Below are 22,726 nucleotides of genomic sequence, written 5' to 3'. Positions count from 1 at the left end.
AAAAGTTTCCTGTAGTTATTTTTAGTCACTGACATGAAAAATATTTTTTACTCAAATAAATATGATTATAATAATTTATTTTTTCAAAATGAATCCAGGTAGTACATTTCTTACAAAATCTTCTCATTTGTTCTACCATCCCAGTTTCTTCTAGGAGACGGCTCTTTTATATACGTACATACACACACACACGCATATATGCATAGATGTGTATGTGTGTATACATATATGTGTATATACATGCATTTAATATACACACATATCTACACACGTACATACAGATATTGATTTCTCTCACACCAATATTTTTAACTTAAAGGCAAAAACATGTTATTTTAAAATCCACATTATTACACTTGGAGATGTGGGAATGAATCATGCTATGATATTTATAAACCATGCCCACTTGCCAAGGCACATTAGTAGAAGCTTACGGGATCATGTAAAGATAAGTGATTCTCAAATTGTTTTTGATAAGGAGCTTTAGACTAGCAGGAATAATCCCTGGAAGATTCTAGGGGAAGTCCCCTCCCGCTTTTGACCAAAGTTCTAGGCAATGCCTTCCTCCAAAAGTGTCAGCCCACGTGGTGAGGCCCCTCCCCTTCCACCCCACGTGGCAGGGACACGCCCCCTTCATCCCCACCCACCCCCCCCGCCCCCCGCAGCCATCACCTCCTGGGGCCCCTTACCTCCGAGGCGCCCAGCCGCGGTGCGGCGCTGTCTGAAGGCCACAGGCACCCTTCCTGGCGGAGGGGAAGGGGAGGAGAGTGGGGGGAACAAGAAACAGAGGAAAATCATTAGCCCCGCCGCACCTAAAAACATGAAGCACAACTTCTGGAAACGGGGATCTGCATAAAACGTGGAGCGAGGCCGGGCGCCATGGCTCAAGCCTGTAATCCCAGCACTTTGGGAGGCAGAGGCGGATGGATCACGAGGTCAGGAGTTCGAGACCAGCCTGGCCAACATGGTGAAACCCCGTCTCTACTAAAAATACAAACATTAGTTGGGCGTGGTGGCGGGTGCCTGTAATCCCAGCTACTCGGGAGGGTGAGGCAGGAGAATCGCTTAAACCTGGGACGCGGAGGTTGCAGTGAGCCGAGATCTTGCCACTGCACTCCAGCCTGGGCGACAGAGTGAGACTCCGTATCAAAAAAACAGAAGAAAAAAAAAAAACAAAAAATAGATAAACAAACAAACAAACAAACAAAAAACGTGGAGCGAGAAAGAGCCCGTCCCTTTTCAGACCTCTTGTCTACATGGAGGGCTGTGAACAAAAGGAAACATGGAAAAGTTGAACTCCTGGCCAGATTAGATTTGAAGTGGAATATGGCTCACTCTCTACACCTGTGTGCTTGAAATACATTCAAGATGACTGTCCAACCGCATTCAGTGGCCGCCCGATGAGGGCAGGCTGGGTTGAGGAAGCCCTGGCAGAGGTGGCCCGGGGCCCGCCCGTGCCCTGCCCGGCCTCCAGCAGAGGCGCAAGTCCGCGCTCGCAGGTGGACGGCCCTTTCCGAGCCTGGGCTCAGGATCCTCCAGCGAGTGTCTTCTCCAGTCCACCTATTCACAGGGCAGATGCAACTTCACATCTGGTGAGTTAGCATCCTTTTTCAAAAACGTTTGGCCAGATTGACAAGGTGACAGGCCAGCCACAGGCCTCAGTAAAGGTTCTTTCCAAGGCCCCACGCGTGCTGGGAAAAAAAGTACGCGTGGTACCCTTTTCAGCCCAGAGTGTGGCTGTCAGCAGGGTCCGCGGGGCTGTCGGCCGTCACGGGAGAGCGCGAACTCAGCGTGTAGGGGCCCGCGTTTGGGGAATTCTCGGAAACGGGCGGGCTGGGCCATCACTGAGCCTCCGACGGCCCCGGCGCCAGCAGCGAGGGACGGCGCGGAAGAAACACCGAGCCCCGCGTTTGTCCAACACGGCCCTTTCCTAAGATACTCGGGGACATCCTGGAATCAGTGGCAAACGTATACGGCGGTCCAGCTGCTCGGAGACGAAGGGTGGGCTCAGGGACCGCCTGTGACGGGAGGGAAGGGCCCGGCCTGGCAGGCACAGACGAGGGCGGGGGTCCGGCGCCAGCGGGGCGGAAGCGGGAAGGGGGCGGAGGCCCTCCCACCGCCCAGGGCCCAGGCTGGGCCCGCAGGGGCGCTCCTCGCTCCGGGAGCCCAGTCAGCCGTAGCCAGGAACGCCGCCAGGTCCATCTGCGGGGCACTCAGAGGGGCTGAGCGGTTCCTGAAAACGTAGTGACTGTCCCCAGTGGCCTTATTTCCCGAAAAACCAGCAAACCCGGCCAAGTGCCCACAGGAGCCGCCGTCCAGTCCGGCTGCGCCCCCGAGGCCCGGCCCTCGGCTGACCCAGCGCCCCGCTCCCCTTGCCGCACCCCACGCCGACTGGCGGCCCCGCCAGCCCGGACAGGAAACCGCCAGAGGCGCGCCTGCTGCTCCTCTGGGCCGCCGCCTCTCTCCCTCACCCCAGTCCTCGGGCCCCGCATTTCCCTCGCCCGCCACAGGCCCCGGCCTCCCTCCTGTTCTGCAGCACTGAGTGTCTGGGCAGAGGCCGCTGCCCTAGGCGGCACCTGCTGTGGCTTGCCTGAATGCAAGGACTATCTTAACCTATCTAATCAATCGATGGATCCATCTATCTCTGTCTAATCTGTTTCTCTCTATTCATTCATCCATCTAATCTATCCATCTATCCTTCTAATCTATCTCTATCCATTTGTCTCTGCCTATCCAACTTATCCATTCATCAAGCAATCTAGGCTATCTATCTAAATATCTGTATCTCTCTCTCTCTCTATTTACCTATCCATCCATCTAATCCATCTATTGAGATGGGGATCTCGCTATGCTGCCCAAGCTGATCTTGAACTCCTGGGCTCAAGTGATCCTGCCTCAGCCTGCTAAAGTGCTGAAATCACCATGCCCAGCTAAAGGACTCTCCTCCTCTCTGGGAAATTCACAGCACCCACAACTAAGAATTGTTGCTGTTGACATCTCATCAGACTTGTCTCATCTTTTCCTCTATATGTGTACTTTAAAAAACTACACACGTAATACATGTATACATTCTCCCTTGTACCACACACAACCAAAGCCATTTTAGAGTCCCAAATCCACCCGTATGCTGGTGCTGCACCTCTGCACTGTGTGTTTTTAATAATGCATTTCCCAGACCTACATGCGTGACACACATTGTTTAATTTGTTAAATAAGTAACTAAATTCTTTCTTAAGGCCTGTGAACCCAGGTGCCCCTCTTCTCCGTTCCCTCTCTCATTGGCCTTATCCGGCCTGTCGGCAGGTCTTCTAACGCATCCCACAGAGAGTTCCTGAGGCCAGGAAAGGGGTGCAGAGGGTAACGCAGGGCATGCCTGCAGCCCTGGGGTCTCCTCCCCGCCACACCACCTTCCTCAGCCTTGCTGCCCGGGCCAAGCCAGCCCTGGACCTTTCCCAGGCCAGCCCACCAGTGTAGGTCCCATCTGCTCCTGTTGCTCAAAACAAGGGCACAATTGTTACCTATTCATTTTGCTTGCTGGGGTGGAAAAAGGTGTTCTGCCCTGAGGTTCTCAAAGCCTGAGAACCAAGCCTGGAGCAGGAGAGTTGGCCACTGGTAGAGAGGAGTTCAGGCCATTCCTGCCTTGGGACATCTGCCAGACGGGATGGCCTGGAGATGGGAACTTTTCCTGCCTGGCTTTTGTTTTTTGCAGGAATGTAACAGCAAAATTAAAAATCTAAAATGGGAGGAAATGCATCTACAGTCCCATCATCCTAATACTTGAACGGATTTCATTTTTTTTTTTTTTTTTTGAGATGGAATCTCGCTCTGTTGCCCAGGCTGGAGTGCAGGGGCGGGATCTCGGCTCACTGCAAGCTCCGCCTCCCGGGTTCACGCCATTCTCCCGCCTCAGCCTACCGAGTAGATGGGACTACAGGCGCCCGCCACCACACCCAGCTAATTTTGTTTTTTTTGTACTGTTAGTAGAGACGCGGTTTCACCATATTAGCCAGGATCCTCTCGATCTCCTGACCTTGTGATTCACCCGCCTCGGCCTCCCAAAGTGCTGGGATTACAGGCGTGAGCCACCGCACCTTGCCAGTTTCTTTCTTTAAGTGCTTTTCTAATGCTTGTTCATTTGCATATATTAAATTTATACAGTTGTAACCATAATGTGGCCAGAGTTGTGTATTCTCTTCTTCACAGAGTATAACATAAGCACTTTCCTCTATCACCACCAGTTTTTTCCAGCTTTATTGAGGTATAATAATATAACAAAAATTATGACTACATAATAATTTATTTAACTATTTACTGACAATTGCCCCCTGCCCCAATTTATTTACTTTTATAGGAAACTTTTTTTCCCAGGCCTTTCACCCACACAGTACATGGGGACATTATAACTACAACATGCTGTGGTGGAAGAGCTTGAGGCCAAAACCCGAGAAGGCTGGCATTCCAGCTCTGTGCCCCAGGCTGCTACCCAGAAAACCCAGATGGGAAGACTGACCGGAGTTCTAGAAAGGCTGAATCCCAACCACCCCGTACCATTAGCTGATGCTCGCTCCACAGCCTTCTCTGGTCATTCCACCAAGGCTGTCACACGCTGATTGTTGGCAAGGTCACCGTCCTTAGCCCTTAAACCTCTCATGCTGCTGATGAAGCCTGCTGGCTCCTGCTCCATCTCTGTCAAACGAGGGTGTGACTCTGTGACTGGTGTCCTCCAAGGGGCTTGTGCCAACTGAGAGAGTGCAGATAGCTGAGTACAAAGATGTGTCTCCCTTGTCTAGGTTGGGGGTCTCTTCACTCACCCCACATGCTATGGAGAACATTTTCAGGGAGAAGGGGGCTCACTACACAGCTGGCTGCCGCTCAGATGGCAGCATTCCCGCATACTCATTATGGGGCCAATTTTAATCAACAATGAAGGCACTGATGTTCTTGGCTAATGCTTACATTGTTGTATCACTCAAAATAAGCTGTGAAATAAGATAATACTTAAAGTAGTTCACAGAATTTTAAGCAATAGGAACAAAACTTTGTTAATAACTTCATACAGGCTGAAATGCATTCCCTGTCTTGTAGGCTATTTCCTTGTAATAACAACCAAAAGGGAGGCAGCCATTCACCCAGCTGTTCATTAATGACCTCACTATACATGTACGGAATACTTCCTTGCAGCGGGTCTCAGTCCTCTTCCATTGCAACATGTGAGCAGATGTGCACATGTCCAACAGATACTGGTGCTGCATGTCCCCAAGGGCTGGGAGACAGGGGCTCTGCACAGTTCCCAGGGCTCATGGAGTCACTCTAAACCCAAGAAACTCAAGAAAGCATCCTGGAATGCCAGTGGGTTAGAGGGACATTACTCTAGGGATCACTTTGAATGAATTCTAGTTTACTTTTTAAGTTACGTTACTCTCAAATCACTCATGTTTGACCATTATAAGGACCAGTTCCTTGAGACCCACATCGCACTGAGCAGGACTTATCAGGGGCTGTTATACCTGCCCCAGGATGCTTACGAGAGGGCACCTGCTCTGGGGGCACACAGGTCTGGCAGCAGCTTTCAGAGGCCTCTTGTATGTGCACTGCCTTGCAAGCATGTTTTTATTCTCTTATTTTCTCCCTGGAACAAAGGCAGTAACAAAAAAGGTAACAAGAATTATCTGATGACAATTTAATATTATACAGATGGAGGCTACCACTATCAGCATAGGTATACATCTGTAAGGGTAAGAAGTCTCTGAGGTAGGTAGCCATTGCATAGGCTAGAATTCTGGCCATGCTTTTCATTTTTAAATTTAAAACATTTTCATTTATTATTTTTTAAGAGACAAAGTCTATGTTGCCCAGGCTGGAGAGCAGCACATTTTCATAAATGTGCTCATAGCATTGAACTCCTGGCCTCAAACACATCCTCCCACCTCAGCCTCCCGGATAGCTGGGACTACAGGTGTGTGCCACCGAGCTCAGCTTCTGCCACTTTCCAAACTGTGATCTCAGGCAGCTCATTTAGTTTCTCCCAGCCTCAGTTCCCTTATTTGTAAAAAGAGGTTGTCATGAGGCTCAAATACCATTTATGAGAATTCCTTAGCATAGTGCCTTAAATAAGCTTCAGCAAACAGGTAGCTCTTCTCATCACAGGTAATGGTTACTTGCTGTTGTTATGCACAGTTAAAGGGGGATAAATTTCCATTACCTCTCTCTCTCTTTTTTTTTTTTTTTTTGTTGTTGAGACGGAGTCTTGCTCTGTTGCCCAGGCTGGAGTGCAGTGGCATGATCTTGGCTCACTGCAACCTCCGCCTCCCGGGTTCAAGCGATTCTCCTGCCTCAGCCTCCTGAGTAGCTGGGACTACAGGCATGTGCCACCATGCCTGGCTAATTTTTGTATTTTTAGTAGAGACGGGGTTTCACCATGTTGGCCAGGTTTGTCTCGAACTCCTGACCTCAAGTGATCCACCCGCCTCGGCCTCCCAAAGTGCTAGGATTACAGGCCTGAGCCACCACGCCCAGCCTAATTTCCATTATCTCTTTTAAGATATTCCTTTAAAGACAACAAGTTCATTGACATTTCCTTATTTTTTTAAACAGTATTCCAAAGGTGGTGTTTTGAATGGAAAGGCTGAGGAATGGGGGCAGCTTAAGCAATGTTGTGTTAATTCCAGATTTCTTCAGGAGCTTTCTCTTAAGGTTGGGCGCTGCATTAACCAAGAGTCTCCTTACAGGCAAGTTCTTCTCTGGCTCTGGCTACTTGGTTTCAGAAGAACCCCAGGTGCTACACAGACCAATGGCCCGCCACTGCATAAAGACTATCTGCGCTATTAAAACATTAGCCCAGCATGGCAGTCAGCTTCCCACCGAGGCAGTCACCATGACTACAAACCTCAGCAGAGATTATCTGCACCATGCACTGTTTTCTTGATGTCATGAGGTCACATAGGGAGGCAGTGGATGGGGTAAAAAACAACAACAACAACAAAAACAAAACAAAAAAAACTTTAGGCCAGGCACGGTGGCTCATGCCTGTAATCCCAGAACTTTGCAAGGCCAAGGTGAGTGGATCACCTGAGGTCAGGAGTTCAAGACCAGTCTGGCCAACATGGTGAAACTCTGACTCTATTGAAAATACAAAAATTAGTCGGGTGTAGTGGTGGGTGCCTGTAATCCCAGCTACTTGGGAGGCTGAGGCAGGAGAATCACTTAAACCCAGGAGGCAGGGGTTGCAGTGAGCCGAGGTCATGCCACTGTACTTCAGCCTGGGCGACAAGAGCGAGACTCCATCTCGAAAAAAAAAAAAATTGCTGGGTGCGGTGGTTTACGCTTGTGATCCCAGCATTTTGGCAGGCCAAGGCAGGCAAATCACCTGAGGTCAGGAGTTCAAGACCAGCCTGGCCAACATGGTGAAAAACCGTCTCTACTAAAAATACAAAAAAAATTTAGCTGGGCACGGTGGTGCACGCCTACAATCCCAGCTACTCAGGAGGCTGAGGCAGGAGAATTGTTTGAACCTGGGAGGCCGAGGTTGTAGTGAGCAGAGATCGCGCCGCTGCACTCCAGCCTGGGCGACAGAGCAAGATTCCATCTCAAAACAAAAACAAAAACAAAAACAAAAACAACTTTATAACATTCAACTTTGTGAAAAGTCTTTATTTTCCTTTGGGCTTTTTTTTTTTTTCTAAAATGAAATCTGTATTGTGAATGAATACAGTGGACCGTTGAACAACATGTGTTTAAACCTGGCTGTTCCACTAAAACGCAGATTTTTTTCAACCCAATGTGTATTCATGAGATGGAAAAGCCTCTCATACGGAGGGGCCGACCTTTTTTGTCCATGGGTTCAGCAGGACAGACTGCGGGACTTGAGCATGCTGGGACTGTGGTGTTATTTGGAGGTCCTAGAACCAATCCCCTGAGGGTACCAAGGGACAGCTGGGCCTTGCTGTTTGTCATTCTCCTGTGAGTGTAGTCACTGTCAGACAATCACTCCTGTTTGAACATCTCTGAGTAGGATGAGAACATTTTTCTTTGGGGTCTATAAGGCTGTGGGCAGGGTTTTGACAGCAGTAAACACGCCAAAGGCAGAGGCTTTCCTGAGACAGTCCCTAGCCGATATCCACAGAAGGCACAATCACACACACACACACACACACACACACACACACACACAGCATAGCTGTCTTCTCTGCTGCGTACACTTGGAACTCTAACGTTAGTCTAGAGCTCTGGCCTCTCTGGCTTGGCCCTGGAAGTTGCCCCCAAGGGCAGCTCCGGAGAGCATGGCTGCCCAGACCCAGGGACCACCCTGAGGGGCTGGCTGGTCAAATGACTCTACTGAATCCAGACTTATTATTCCTATATCTATGGAAAAGGGACGCAGAACGGTTCCAAATCTTGCAGGCTTGAGGACAGACATTTTCAGACTCCTTTACACTTGAGCAATCTGTTTCACATTTTCTTCCTTCTGAATGGTCAGTGAACAGCCACACTAACAGGAAAACTCCCCACAAATTCAATCTGCTTGACACCAAAACATTTGCATTAAAGAGAAAAAATATCACCGGATCTTCCAAATGATTGTCTTTATGGTGCTGAAAATCAAGATGTGCAATTTGCAGATCTGGAGCACAGTGACTGAATTTTTTTCCTTTTACATCAGACCATTTGGCACTTTTTTGGGGGGAGATGGGAAATACTCCAATGTTATGGTATTTGGAGGTGGAATCTTTGCTAGGTAATTAGGTAATGAGGGTGGAGTCCTCATGAATGGGACCAGTACCCTTATAAGAAGAGGCTGGAGGCTAGCAAGCTCTTTCCACAAGAGAAGGTGGCAGTTTGCCACCGGGAAGAGTGGCCTCATCCGAACCCAACCGTGCTGGCACTGTGGTCTCTCATGTCTGACCTCCAGAATGAGAAATCAGTGTTTGCTGTTTATAAGCCACCCGGTCTACGGTACTTTGTTCTAGCAGTCAAACTAAGGCTGAATTTCAAAGTTTTAGCTCTTATGTTTATATTTTTGTCCATTTGAGTTAATTTTTGAATATGTTATAAGGGTCCAATGTCACTCTTCTGCATGTGGCTATCCAGATCCCCCATCACCACTCTGAAAAGGCTGTCCTTTCCCCATTGAATGGCCTTGGCATCCTTTCTGAAAATTACTTGACCATATATTTGAGGGTTTATCTCTGGACTCTCTGTTCTATTCCACTGGTCTATATATTTGTCTATATCCCAGCACCACACTACAAAACTTACTACAGCTTTGTAGTAAGTCTTGAAATCAGGAATTGTGAGACCTTTAACTTTTCAAATCTTTTTTTTTTTTTTTGAGATTATTGTGGATATTTAGGGTCCCTTGAGATAATATATAAACGTTAGGATGGATTATTTTTCCTATTTCTGCAAAAAGCCTCATTGGGATTTCAAAAGCGATTACACTGAAGTCTGTACACTGCTTTTAGTAGTACTAACATCTTAAAAATAGTTAAGTCTTCCAATTCATGAATACAAGATATCTTTCCATTTATTTGTATTTTCTTCCATTTCTTTCAGCAATGCTTTCTATTGCTCAGTGCACAAGTCTTTCACCTCCTTGGGTAAGTATATTTCTAAGTATTCTCTTTTTTTGATGCTATTGAAAATGGAATTTTCTTAATTTCCTTACCGAATTGTTCATTGTACATGAAAATAAATGCAATTGATTTTTGCATGTTGATTCTGTATCCTGCTAACTTTGCCAAATTCATTAGTTCTGACACTTTTTGGGTTATTTTTAAAATAGAATCTTTAGAGTTTTTACACATAAGGTCATGTCATCTTCTAACAGATACTTTTACTTCTTCCTTTCCACTTGGAATGTCTTTTATTTCTTTTTCTTGCCTAATTGCTCTGGCTAGAATGTCTAATTAATACTATGTTGAACAGAAGTAGTGAAAGCAGGCATCCTTGTCTTGTTCCCGGTCTTACAGGAAAAGCTTTCAGTCTTTTACCATTAAGTATGATGTAAGCTGTGGGCTTTTCATAGATAGCCTTTATGATGTTGAAGTAGCTTCCTTCCATCCTACTTTGTTGAGGGTTTCTATCATGAAAGTATGTTGAATTTCATCAAACACTGATGGCAGTGGTGGCCCATCTGGAGCAGCTGCTGTGAAGATGCTGGCTGCAGCAGGGGAGGCATGGCCAGGGCTGTGTGCTCCACGGAGCCGGTGAGAGCCAGGAACAGGTGGGAGCCCTGCCCTCTTCTGAGTTGGTAGGGCAGGAGCCCTGCCCTCCTGGGTGCAGCTGCAGTCACAAAGCTGCAGCTGCGGACCCAGGGCATCCCTGTGCTCTCAGGGTCCTAGCGAAGTCCCCTGCCCCTGCAGGCTCAGAAGTGCCTGCTCCTGCTACCTGGCTTCTCCCCGCTCCTGCTGCCTGCTCCAATTTTGGAGCAAAGCTGAGGCTGAGCCTGGGCACTGTCACAATTTGGCCAGGTGTGTCACAATTTGGCCAGGTGTGTCACAATTTGGGGCAGCGCTGATATGCCAGCCCCCTGCCACCTCAGCCCCCTCCGGACTTTGGGTGCTGACGAGCATCAGTGGGAGGCTGAGGCAGGGGTGGGCTGAGGGTGGGTTGGTGTGGGCCTGCAGGTGCCCCTTGACACCAACAGCCTGGGCACCGTGTACATGACTGATGGCAGCAGGAGGCAGACAGGCTCCTGGGCAAAAAGGGGCAGGTCCCTGCTGAAGCCCCACCTTCAAGCCAGGAATGGCCTAAAGCATGGGGGCCAAGCTGTCAGTTCTGAGTGGAGTCCACAGACCAGAGTAAGAACTTAGGATGCTTTTTCTGGGCCTGCCTGTGGCCGTCCATGGACCAATCAGCATGCACTTCCTCCCTTTTGAGCTCATTAAAAATCCTGGATTCAGTTTGACTTGAACAGACATCGGATCAACCTGCCTGTGGATAGGAGCTACTCACTGCAGGTCTCCTCTCCACTGACGGCTAGACACTTATTGGCATGACCTGCCTGAGGAAAGGAGCTACCCATTGACAGACAGACATTGGGATGACCTGTCTGGGGAAAGGAGCTACCCTCTATGGGTCTCCTCTCTGCTCTGAGCTGGACAGACGTCAGGATGACCTGCCTACAGAAAGGAGCTACCCATTGACAGACAGACATTGGGATGACCTGTCTGGGGAAAGGAGCTACCCACTGTGGGTCTCCTCTCTGATCTGAGCTGGACAGACAGACATCAGGATGACCTGCCTACAGAAAGGAGCTATCCAGTCTGGGTCTCCTGAGAGCTGTTCTGTTGCTCAATGAAGCTTCTCTCCAACTTCTCACCCACCAGTTGTCCATGTACCTCATTCTTCTTGGATGTGGGACAAGAACTTGTGACTGGCCGAATGGTGGGACTAAAAGAGCTGTAACATAAACAGGGCTGAAACATGCCCCTCCACTCACCACACTGTGGGGGACAAGAAGGAAAGAAGAGCTGTGACCCTTAGGGCAGCCCAGACCTAGGGTTCTCCTGGCCAGGGCTGTGACACCATCTTTGGGACTCTGCAGTTCCTGGTGTCTCCAAGCTTCCGGGTACCATCACATTCCCCTCATCCAGACGCAAGTGCCTGCAGTGGATGCTGCATGCAGTGTATCTGGTCCAGCTGCAGCCTTGCACAGAGCAAGCACCTGTGCCAGTACCTGGAGCTGCCTGCCCTGCTGCAGCAACCAGCGCACCTGGCTGTGCACAGTGGCTGGACCTTGCACTCACTTGCTCACACACCCCTCACCATTCTGTGCCTGGCTTGCCCTTGGCAGGTGTGGGATCTGGGCCAGTAACGTGAGCTGAGCGCAGCCTGCCAGGGGAAGTGGGCAGGATGAGCCCAGTGGGCATGAGCAATACTCAGGCAGAAGGCACCACCAGCCACAAAGGTTTCTGACTGGCGAAGTGACACCCTAAGGATCCTGTGACAATACTATTTCTGCATCAACTGAGATGATTGTGGGACAAGAACTTGGGACCTGCTGAATGAAGTTTGGGACCCCCAACTTCATTCTGTTAATGTAGTGTATGACACTGACTGAATTTCATGTATGGAACCATCCTTGCCTTCTGGGAATAAATCCCCCACTTGTTGATGATGTATAATCCTTTTACTTTTTTAAATTTAATTTTTATTTAGTATTATTATTATTTTTGAGACAGAGTCTCGCTCTGTCTTCCAGGCTGGAGTACAGTGGCACGATCTCAGGTCACTGCAACCTCCGCCTCCCGGGGTCAAGTGATTCTCCTGCCTCAGCCTCCCGAGTAGTTGGGATTGCAGGTGCGTGCCCCCATGCCTGGTTAATTTTCGTATTTTTAGTAGTGACAGGTTTCACCATGTTGGCCAGGCTGGTCTCGAACTCCTGACCTCAAGTAATCTGCCTCCCTTAGCCTCCCAAAGTGCTGGGATTACAGGTGTGAGTCACTGTGCGCAGCCAGTATAACCCTTTTAATATACTGCTGAATTTAGTTTGCTAGTATTTTGTTGAGGACTTTTGCATCAATATTTATAAGAAATATTAGTCTATGGTTATCTTTTTCTGCTGTGTCTTTGTCTGGCTTTGGTATCAGGAATGCTGGCCTCATCTCATAATGAGTTAGGAAGTGTTCCCACCTCTTGAAATTTCTAGAAGTTTAAGAAGGATTGATGTCAATTCTTTAAATGTTTGGTAGAATTCACCACTGAAGCCATGTGGTCCAGGTTGGAGATTTTAGACCATTGGTTCAATCTCCTTACTAGCTATAGATCTATTAAGATTTTCTATTTCTTCATGATTCAGTCTTGGTAGGCTGTTTCTAATATCTTTTCATTTCATCTAGGTTATCCAATTGGTTTGCATACAATTGTTCGTAGCACTATTTTATAATCCTTTTCATTTCTGTATTTATTGGATCATTTTTCTTCCAACCAGTACATCTCATATTATTAAAGGACAGTCGTCTGCAGCCATGACTTACTGAGGGTTCCCTTGTGCTGCACCATGGGCTGTCGCCTGCTGCCATGCGTCCACGTGTGCAAGGCCACACCACGCCCGAACCCTGCTGGGCTTATGCTCTCAGCTACACTCTCCTTTCCACACACACACAGAGGACCCCAGGAATGATCAGATGTGGGGACTGGAAACAACCAGGGAGAGCACTGAACACAGTGTTTTCCACCATGTGCTTTGCAGCCTCTTAGAGAGCTGGAAAATCCATTTAAGTGGGTCACAGCCAGCATTCCAAAAACTGAAACAGAACAGAAATGATCTGAGCACACTGTAAGTATTGTTTTGTAAAACCTCTGCCTTAATTGCATTATAGGAGGCTTTTGTGTTGTGATATAAAATGTATTTCTTACTGTTCTTCATGGCAAGATACAGATTGAAGGCCTCCGAATGAAGCCAGTTATCCCTCATTTTAGATGGGGGGAAACTGAGGACAGAGGGCATATTCCTCTCTAGGCACCTCGGTCAGTCTGCGGTAAAGCAAGACTACTGCTGGGTATTCTGATTCTACCCAAGGGCTAACCTCCCAGTGAATGAATGTATTTTATGGCCTCAAATAGTTGGAAATCTATTTTTCCCCTGTTCCACAGTGAGAATTTCAAAGAAGAGGTGAAATTGATCTTTGGATATTCAGCAACACCTTTGCCTTCTGATAAAATCAATTTTCCCTGTTTTCTCCCTTTTTTCATGCAGCCTCTCCACCATCCTGATATTTTATCACTACCGTCCTTTCCACTCTAGATGGCAGTCACAGCCTGGATGTGAGGCCAGTACCCCTGGCTGTCAGAGACTGCACCTCCCCCTTTCTTCCTCCTGGGGAATCCATCATCAGACTTCTCAGATTCAAGATCCCCCAACTCTGCTCAATCTAGGGCACGTCCCTTAAGAGAAAAGACAAATCATCTAGGAAGGTCTGCTGGAAGAAAAGGAAGGGAATCCTTTCTATTTCTGGGACAATGCAATGGGCTAGCGGGGAAAAGCAATATGAGGTGCCTCTCCCAGCTTGGTGCTGGGGTTAGTGAGCAATCGGACTTCAAGAGGAATCAGCCTGGGAATGAGAAAGTTCCAGGCAGCAGGAAAATGTGGAACCACACAAGATCCAGGCAGGCATCATCCTGATTTCAGCACCAGTTGCCTCGTCTCACATGTGAGAAGAAGTCAGAGCTCAGAGGGGATTTTCTGTGACCTTCACCCAAGGTCACAGAGCTGCTGGGGCTTTGCCAAGAGCCAGACCCCAGCCTGGTGAGCCTCCCCAACAGGGGCCACCCAGAGTTATGATCATTAAGATAATTTTTAATCTTCTTCTCTTTTTTTTTTTCAGAACAAACCACACCAACTTTCAAGGACTAAGCAAAAAATAAACCAACAGATTTTACTATTAGATTATTAATGCTAATACCTTATATATTTAAAAGATTACTATAAATTTGTTGATAAAAATGTTCATACATTTTATTTAAAATTATTATTTTAGCCACCATAGAAACCATGTTCAAATGAATTACTCTGGGAGTCTATAGATGCCCAGAACATTACTGCCTTTAGCATCAGTTTACATGATCAGAGGATGTTTTGTAATTGCAAAGGTAATACATGAATACATTCTTACCATAAAAGTTTTACTGCACAGATCAGTGTTCCTTTGTCCTTACTTCCTTCCCAGGCACAGCTGTCAGTTTGCTGTGGGTCCTTCCTGACCTTTCTCTACAGATCAGTTTGTAACTCGGACGTCAGTCTCACTAATTGAGTCGTGCTTGCCTTTGCACCAAAATTGTATCATTTGGTTTGATCACCCATATAATGAACAAGACTTAACTCTAAATGGATTTTGGCTGGTACCAAAAATCAAATCTATCCCCAAGAGCAAAACTATTTGCTCTTTGCAAAGGAAGATTTGCCATTGTGGAGAAGCTTTTAAAAAATTTCCCTTGATTAAAAAAACAAACAAACAAATAAAAACAACCCAGTCAGGTGCAGTGGCTCAGGCCTGTAATCCTAGCACTTTGGGAGGCTGAAGTGGGAAGATCGTTTGAGGCAAGGAGTTCAAGACCAGCCTGGGCAACACAGTGAGATCTTGTCTCTACAAAAAATTTAAAAATTAGCCAGGCATGGTTGCGCGTGCCTATAGTCACAGCTACGCAGGAGGCTGAGGCAGGGGGATCAGTTGAGCCTAAATGTTCGAGGCTGCAGTGAGTTATGATCATGCCACTATACTCCAGCCTGCGCAACAAAGTGAGATCTTGTCACTTAAAAATAACCCCAAAACCTGAAGGTAATTCCCAAACATTCTGAGCAGTGCCAACATCAGTAGAAGGACTATTTGAGACACTGTCACTTTAAAGATAAGCATTGACTCTTCCAAAGCTCTGCCCACTGTGGTTCAGGTGGGAATCTGCGTGCAGCTGGGGTCCAGCATCCTTATGCAGTTTCTGCCGGGCCGCTTGGCCTCCTGTTTCCCTTAATTGAAGGGAGATGTTCTCATTTTGAGGTGATGTGAAATTGTCTATCCTCTAATGCTTCAATTAGACATAGCAAAGGGCAAAACCTTTCAAATGACCACCTGGGCAGCCTGATAATTGGAAGTCCTTGCTCACTCAGACAGACATGCTGCGGCCAACCCGCCGGACCCTAAGCTCTTGGAAATGCAGTTTCCGTGAAATGCAGTAACGGAGAGCTGTCACTGGACAACCGACAAACACACACATCTGGTCTGTGGTGCAGCAGGGTCTGCCTTGCCTGCAGGGAAACGGTCCCCTGCGGTTCATCCCCACAATGATGCCAGAGGAAGCCTGTGGCTCTTTTCTTTAGTCTGGAGTGTCAGAGGCAGACCGAGTACAACTGCATCAGTAAGCCCTTTAGTCCACTCCTTCAAGCCTTACTGAAAATCATTCCTTTCCATCGTTTTCCACATGCTTTTCTAAACGTATGAGGTGGGCAGGAGTGAGAGCAGCAGGGCACAGCGAGCCAGCGCTCCAGCCGCAGTGGGAATGAACAGTGTGGCGCTGAAACCCCTGCTCCCTGTGCCCTCCGAGGGATCCCAGGACACTGCCTGTGGGTTTCTCAAACACCCCTGAGCCTGGGGCCCACCTCAGAGCCTCTATCTGCAGGGGAGGGTAGAGGGACACTGCCCAGGTAGAGAAAGGCACTCGTCACATATGGCACACCCAGAGGTCCCCTCACTGTGAGTTCTGAGCCCCAGCACAGCGGGCTCCTGGCTGTCAGACACCTGCCCAGGACCGTCTGCCCTCTGGCCACCGCTGCTCCCAAGGCCAGCAGAGAGGCTGCTGGTGCAGGGCCGAGCCTCAGAGAGCGGGGAGCCCATGGCCACCTCTGTCCCTCTGGCTATAAGCTTTAGTCACAGAGGAGGGCCTTGCCTGGGGAGATGACTGGACAGCAGTGGCCACGAGTGACCATGTCAGGCTGGGCACAGGACACGCACAGCACTGTTGACCCAGACACGTGTCTCAACTCCTAACCAGGCAGGAACAGTATTTACTTCCACAAGGACCTTCTCACCCATTTTTCTGGGAACCAGTGGCCCTCTCAGTCTATCTTGGTCTTCAGCCTTGCAATAGAAGCCTGAGTGCAGAAGAAAATTTTCTCTGAAAAACAACCCCCACGTGCAAACCCACAGATGGCAATGCTGCTGCCCGGCACTGAAGGGTCCCCAGCGAGAGACAGGTGACAGCCCGGGCAGCACAGGCCCACTCCATGGCAGCCACCTCACAGCCCCAGCCTCAGGGTGTGGCCCCATAGGCTGCTTTTTCAAGAGAAGATGGAAACTCCAATTTTCATGTGAAATCTCACAATTTTTATTTTTTATTTTTTTATTTTTGAGATGGCGTCTCCCTCTGTCGGCCAGGCTGGAGTGCAATGGCGTGATCTCAGCTCACTGCAACCTCTGCCTCCAGATTCTCTTGCTTCAGCCTCCCAAGTAGCTGGGATTACAGGCACGTGCCACCACACCTGGCTAACTTTTGTATTTTTGAGTAGAGACAAGGTTTCACCATGTTGGCTGGGCTGGTCTCAAACTCCTGACCTCAAGTGATCTGCCCACCTCGGCCTCCCAAAGTGCTGAGATTATAGGCGTGAGCCACCGCACCCAGCCCCAATTTTTAAAAGCTAGATCAACTTAGGTTCGAACACCCTGTGGGGCAAACCAGGTACACAGCCATGCTCTAGGCTAACTCTGTGGCTTCTGCAGAGAGGGACTTGTGGGGAGAGCTCACCCCATGTCAGGGCACTGTGGATCTGAGGAGCATGAGTTTCTGCATCAAGAGGGCTGACAGCCACCAAGTGCTTGTCCTCCTCCGCAACAGCCAGGGCCCCTCCCAGTGTCAACCCCAGGGAGCTGGAGGAGCCCAGCTGTGCTGGGTGGGGCCTGGCTGCTCCTCCTGGCTATGAAGAATGGGCACCTGGATTTTCACAATCGATTTAATCCCTGTAGGAGTTGATAATGAAGAGATGTGTGATGTGATTCCTTTTGTTAATTTTTTAAATTGAAATTGCTGTTTCTATAGGTCAAAATGGCTGAATGTTAACAATTTCATATGCTTCAATCTGGGTAAAGGTCCCTGTCCCTCTCCTGCCTCTCCCTCCATCCGCTGATGGCCAGACCCTTCTGCCTGCATGCCATCCCCTACCCCTGGGCTGTCCACACAGGCCAGGCTGGACCCTCTGGGCCAGGCTGCTGGCAGTCAGAAAAGGTCACCTGGGCTCCCTCAGCTCCAGCAAGAAATGTTCCAGCAACTTGTTCAAATAGCTCTCCGGGCTGTGTCTAGAATATTCATGCCCCTTTACTGCTTTCCCATTACTGAATGGTCTAAGATAATGAAAAGAAATCTAGACAGTCTCAATGCTCAGAAGTCACACAAACCAGGCTCCAAAGAAACCAAGCTCAGGCTACCTCAGCAAGAATGCACAAGGATGCAGATCCGGACCCGCCGCTGCTATCTGCTATGATGTAAGCATTTGCTTTGTCTGTGATGTAATTCACACCTGAGTTGCTAGTTTTCATTTTCATCCAGAAATCACTACTTCCACCACATTCAGGCCCAGTAACATCCATTCCTTGGGCCCCCCTGGGACACACAGTGTCTACCGCATGGCGACAAAGGTTGACTGGCTTTGGGACACCCATCACGTTCATGCAGCATGCACTGTCCCAGGCCAAGGGACATGGGAGGAAGGTGCCAGTGTCAGGAGGATGCTGGTAGAGGGGAGGAGGTTGCTGGTGGAGGGAGGAGGGCTCTGGTGGGGGGAGGAGGGCTCTGGCGGGGGGAGGAGGGCGCCGGCTGAGGGGAGGAGGGTGCTGGCGGGGGGAGGAGGGTGGTGGCAGGGGGAGGAGGGCTCTGGTGGGGGGAGGAGGGTGCTGGCAGGGGGAGGAGGCCTCTGGCGGGGGGAGGAGGGCGCCGGCTGCGGCTCCTCACCTGCACCTGCACAGGAGCACACCCTATGGGACAGGGACCAGAACTGGCTGAGCTGGGCACTCCCTCAGGAAGGGGCCAGAGAAGGCAGCGGGGCAGTCACCACTTCTCAGAACGGGACTCTCCGCAAGAAGCAGAGAAGCCAGGGCCACAGTGATGCTGTCTGGTTAAGCTTGGTCTGGCCCTTCCTTGTGGTCAAAGTGGAAAACCTGTAGAGGAGGCGAGGGGCCGCTCATAGCAGGGCGGGAAGCTTCCTCAGCCAAGTAAGGCTGCTGGCCTGCTCATCCTCCTCCTCCAAACCAAAACTCACTCCCATCCTATTGCCCCAAGCTATGTTTCCACCTCCACTCTCCAGGCTTCCAGCAGAAAGACGTAACAGTAAGTTTAATCAGAGTGTGAAGCCTAATCACCTAGAAGTTGGTTAATTCAATGCCCAGCACTTCTCACACCAGGTTTAAATAGAACATCATTTTCTAATGTGCTCATGGAGCCCTGGGGTGGGTCTCTACAAACAGGCCCTCACAGGAGGCTCCCCAACAATGCACAGGCTCCTAATGAGGCTGCGCTCCACAGAGGGGACAGGAGGAGCATCCAACCCCAGCTGCTGACTGGAGGGTGCTGAGCCGCCGCCAGGGCCTGGACTCCCAGGGCCTCGGGTGCTGCAGGAGAAAGGCCTCGGACATTGGTGCTGAGAAAGGAAGAGGTGCTTAGGGGCTTGCAGGGGCCCTGATAACTGGAAAGAAGCCATGAGGATGGCAGCATCTGCCCAGACACACTCATCCTCCCCAGCCGCCTTGCCCTGGAGCACAGGCCTGCACAGCAGCACAGGGAGCCCAGGAGACAGAGGACTGCCAGGCTCTGCCAGGGGGCACAGGGCCCTCCCTGCCATGCTGACCAGCCAGCCGTGCCTTCCCAGCCCCTTCCAAGCCCCTTGGGAGGGGGCTTCCTGACACAGGTGGTCACCTAGGGATGGGGAAGGCGGGGAACTTGGAACTGCCCTCGCCAACTGCACATGGGCCAGGCCAGGCATGGGGACGGAGGAGACACAGGTCCTCATACCTGCCCCAAACACCTCCTACAGCTCCCACGCCTGACACTCCCCCATCCCAAAGGCACAATCGGCCAGCCAGACCCCTAGCCTCCCCTAGGAAGATGGAGAGAATGGCAGCGGGGTCTTGGCCTCCGCCAGGGGACTGCAGGTGCTGCTGGTGGCGGAGGCGGGGCATGGCCACTGTTTCCCCCTCCTACTCAGTGCCTGGCTCCTGCGGAGTGTCCACTGAATGGCTGGATGAGCAGAGGAGGCAGGAGTCACTGGGGAAACTGTTCCCAAGGCAGAGTCCCAGACCAGACCCCAAACTCGTACTGCTGGGAAGAGCTCTCCGCTCTGTGGATGCCTCAGAGCCAGCCTAGAGAGACCCCCTCATGGTAACAGGCAGCCTCTTTTACAGTGAAGTGCCCCTGGGTCCGGCAGTGCTCAGCACCTGGTGGGTCCGGCAGTGCTCAGCACCTGGTGGGGCCGGCTCCTCCGCCTCAGCACCGCTCACATCCACTCAGATGAGTCTTTGTTGCGGGACTGCCTGTGCACTGTAGGACGCACTGTACAGATGAGTCTTTGTTGCAGGGCCGCCCGCGTACTGTAGGACACATTGTAGGATTCCCCCTTATGATGCCAGACACTGCAAATGTCCCCTAGACATTTGGCAGAATCAGCCCTGATCGAGACTCCTGAGCTGAGTGTAAATGAATCAGATCGCTCCCCTAATACTGTATACGGGGAACAGGCATTTCTTAAAAGAAGTTAGAAGTAGGGAATTAGGAGGCAGGAAGCCTGGCTGCGTGGGGGCATTCCTGGGTGGAGAGGACCTGGGTTAGGGGACCCTCAGGGCAGAGAGAGGGAAATGGATAGCATGGCCACACCCATAGTATTAGCAAGGCCTGAGTCTGTGTCCAGGAGAGAATGGAGGTTTCTTCCTCATCAGCTGCCACTCTTTTCTCTTTTGGGGAACCATCAACTGGGCTAATACACCAGATCGGGAAGTGGAGCAAGGGCCTGGGCCGAGCTGCCTCTGGTCATCGTGCTGGAATGCATCTTGTGTTTTATGAAACATCACACAGAGTCCTTTGCTAAGCTACGCTGAAGCCGTAGGAGGAACAGCCACACCTCGAGGAGGGACAGCTCCCAGTTCCAGGTTACTCAGAAAAAAAGGAGAAATAGCTCGGTGCAGCCGGATCTCTGCAAGCCCCAGCTCAGCTCCAGAACGGAGCTCTCAGGGGGAACACTGTATGTGCACATTAACAAAACGAGGCCCAGACAGGGATGTGGACCACTGTGTGGACACAATTCACTGGCTGCCGAATGTCTTCACCTGCCACGCAGTGTGCAGCCCTGAAGGGACCTCTGAACATCGCTCTGTCACCTTCCTGATTTCAGGGAAGGGAGGCTCTGCAGGTGGGGCAGCCAGCGCTTCCCGGGAAAGGGCATCACACAAATCTGCCGCCACATGACACAGAAGACACTTTTTTGACACTTTTTGCTTTTCTGCTGGGCCTCTTGGTTGGTAAGGGTGTGGCCAGTGTGCTGGTGTTCAGGACACAAGGTGCTATGAACAGGGACAGCAAGCGGGGCTGGGTCTGCACCAGGAACAGAGCAAGGAGCTGCCTGACCCACACTAGGGAGAGAGAAGCCAACACCAGGGCAAGTCTGGGAGGAAGACTGGGGAGCGCCCAGGCAGGGGACAGAAAACTCCCTGTGTGCCTGCGCACAGAGACCCCAAGCGTTCTGGAGCTCCTGGAGAGAAGGCCAAGGAAGGCTGTGCTTGTTTCCACCAAGTCCAGGGGTGGCGTTCACAGCCCGTAATACATTAAGGCAAAGCAGCGATGTCTGAGCCTTCTGCGGTTCTGAAACTGCTGCTGTGATGAGATTTTCTCCCTGTCCTCTCTCAAAACACAGGTGAATCCCATACACTGTGTGTTTAGAACTTCAGAAGAATTAGTCCTCCCTCTGTCCAACAATCTACAGGCATCAGGATGCCAAAGTGTTCAGTGCGTCTGGATGGCGCAGCTCTGTGGACACCAGACAAAGGACCCCAGGATGCTGTGGAGGCTCGAGGAAAGTAACACAACAGGGCCAGAGGGGCTTGTGGACTGAACTGGGCATCCAGAGAGAGGACAGAAGGGGCAAGAGAGGATGCAGGGGGCAAGAGGAGGAAACGGCTGTCAAGGGTGCACGTCTTCCCCTGGCATCCCATCTCCTCCCCGAGGCTGCCCCGTCTAGCCCTCACCATGGTCTGAAGATAGCACTCGGTAGCACCCACCCCTTCCTTCTCCCCACTACCTGCAGGAGCTGCAGAGCAGACAGCAAACCTCAGCTCTGCCCATATGGATGGCTGCACCAATGATCCTAGTGAAGTGTGAGCCTGCACTCCTGAGAGGGGTCCCAGGGCCAGCGGCCACCCCAGGAAACCCACCTGGACAGCTGCACCCCATACCCTGGACAGGCTCTGTAAGTCAGGGTGGGAGCCGGAACTGCACAGCCCTGTTCCTGAAGAGGGATGCTCCGTAAGGACCGGCTCCTGTGCTCAGCATACCGCAGGGCTCCACACTGTGGAGACTCGGCCTCGCTGCCCATCACGGAAGCCAAGGATTTATACGCTCGCTGAACTCACCGCTCCTAACCCTCTGGCTGGAAGCCATCAAAACCACAGCCTGTAAAACAGGCTTGGGACAGCAGCCCCTGGTCTCTCAAGTTTGATCATAGTGCAGTTTGGCTTGAGGGTCCACCGCCGACAACCCCACCCTCCACAACCCCACCCTCCACAACCCACCGCCGACAACCCTACCGCCGACAAGCCCACCGCTGACAAGCCCACCGCCAACAACCCCACCGCCGATCCCCAGGAAGCTCCCGAGGCCTTAAGCTCCAGGCGTCCTCCAGCTCATGGCACCCATGTGCTGCCGGCACGTTTAGTGACGATGAGCGCGTGATTTGTCCCCGCAGCACCTCCAGGACCCAGCTCAGGACAGGATTTTACAACACAATGAATCTCACAAGTGCACTGCCAAGCCAGAGGAGCCAGGCACGAGGGACCACCCAGGGCCGGTCCCGTTCGTGCACAGCTCAGAAGCTGGCAAAGCCACGTCGGGCAGCAAAGATCCAGGGGAGACCTGGGAGGGGTCACGCAGGCTTCTGGGGGGACTGCTGTGTCTGTATGTTCACTGGGTGCTGGTCACACTGGTGTGTTCAGTTTGTGGGGACTCACTAAGTGGAACACTTACGAGGTGCGCTTCGCCCCGT

General features: G+C 50.6%; 1 protein-coding gene across 52 annotated transcripts in view, besides 2 other annotated features; it reads right to left on the bottom strand.

Annotated features, from left to right (window-relative positions):
- LDLRAD4 (low density lipoprotein receptor class A domain containing 4) overlaps positions 1–22,726 on the bottom strand; it is a 435,073-nt gene that overhangs the window by 8,653 nt on the left and 403,694 nt on the right. For 39 of the 52 annotated variants that reach the window (NR_172142.1, XM_047437773.1, XM_047437776.1 and 36 more), the window contains one exon: positions 690–743. The exons of 12 other annotated variants lie outside the window; for them this stretch is intronic. Coding sequence is in view for 39 of the 40 variants with exons in the window: in XM_047437773.1 (XP_047293729.1) it covers positions 690–743 (54 nt within the window). In the remaining variant the exon portion in view is untranslated. Of the gene's footprint in view, positions 1–689; positions 744–1,344; positions 2,345–22,726 lie in introns of those variants that run through there. One more of the 52 variants, NM_001276251.2, reaches the window with a different exon arrangement.
- Positions 17,487–17,987: an enhancer, noted in NCBI's record as "H3K4me1 hESC enhancer chr18:13626114-13626614 (GRCh37/hg19 assembly coordinates)". NCBI's record gives its function as "activates a minimal SCP1, AML or CMV promoter by ChIP-STARR-seq in primed H9 embryonic stem cells {active_cell/tissue: H9 hESC(primed)}" and the evidence as "EXISTENCE:reporter gene assay evidence [ECO:0000049][PMID:30033119]".
- Positions 20,393–20,892: an enhancer, noted in NCBI's record as "H3K4me1 hESC enhancer chr18:13623209-13623708 (GRCh37/hg19 assembly coordinates)". NCBI's record gives its function as "activates a minimal SCP1, AML or CMV promoter by ChIP-STARR-seq in primed H9 embryonic stem cells {active_cell/tissue: H9 hESC(primed)}" and the evidence as "EXISTENCE:reporter gene assay evidence [ECO:0000049][PMID:30033119]".

The sequence above is a fragment of the Homo sapiens genome, chromosome 18, assembly GCF_000001405.40.
Source record: "Homo sapiens chromosome 18, GRCh38.p14 Primary Assembly".
In the NCBI taxonomy this organism is placed as follows: Eukaryota; Metazoa; Chordata; class Mammalia; order Primates; family Hominidae; genus Homo; species Homo sapiens.
The sequence above is the reverse complement of the archived record's forward strand: the minus strand, read 5'-3'. Positions and strand labels throughout refer to the sequence as shown.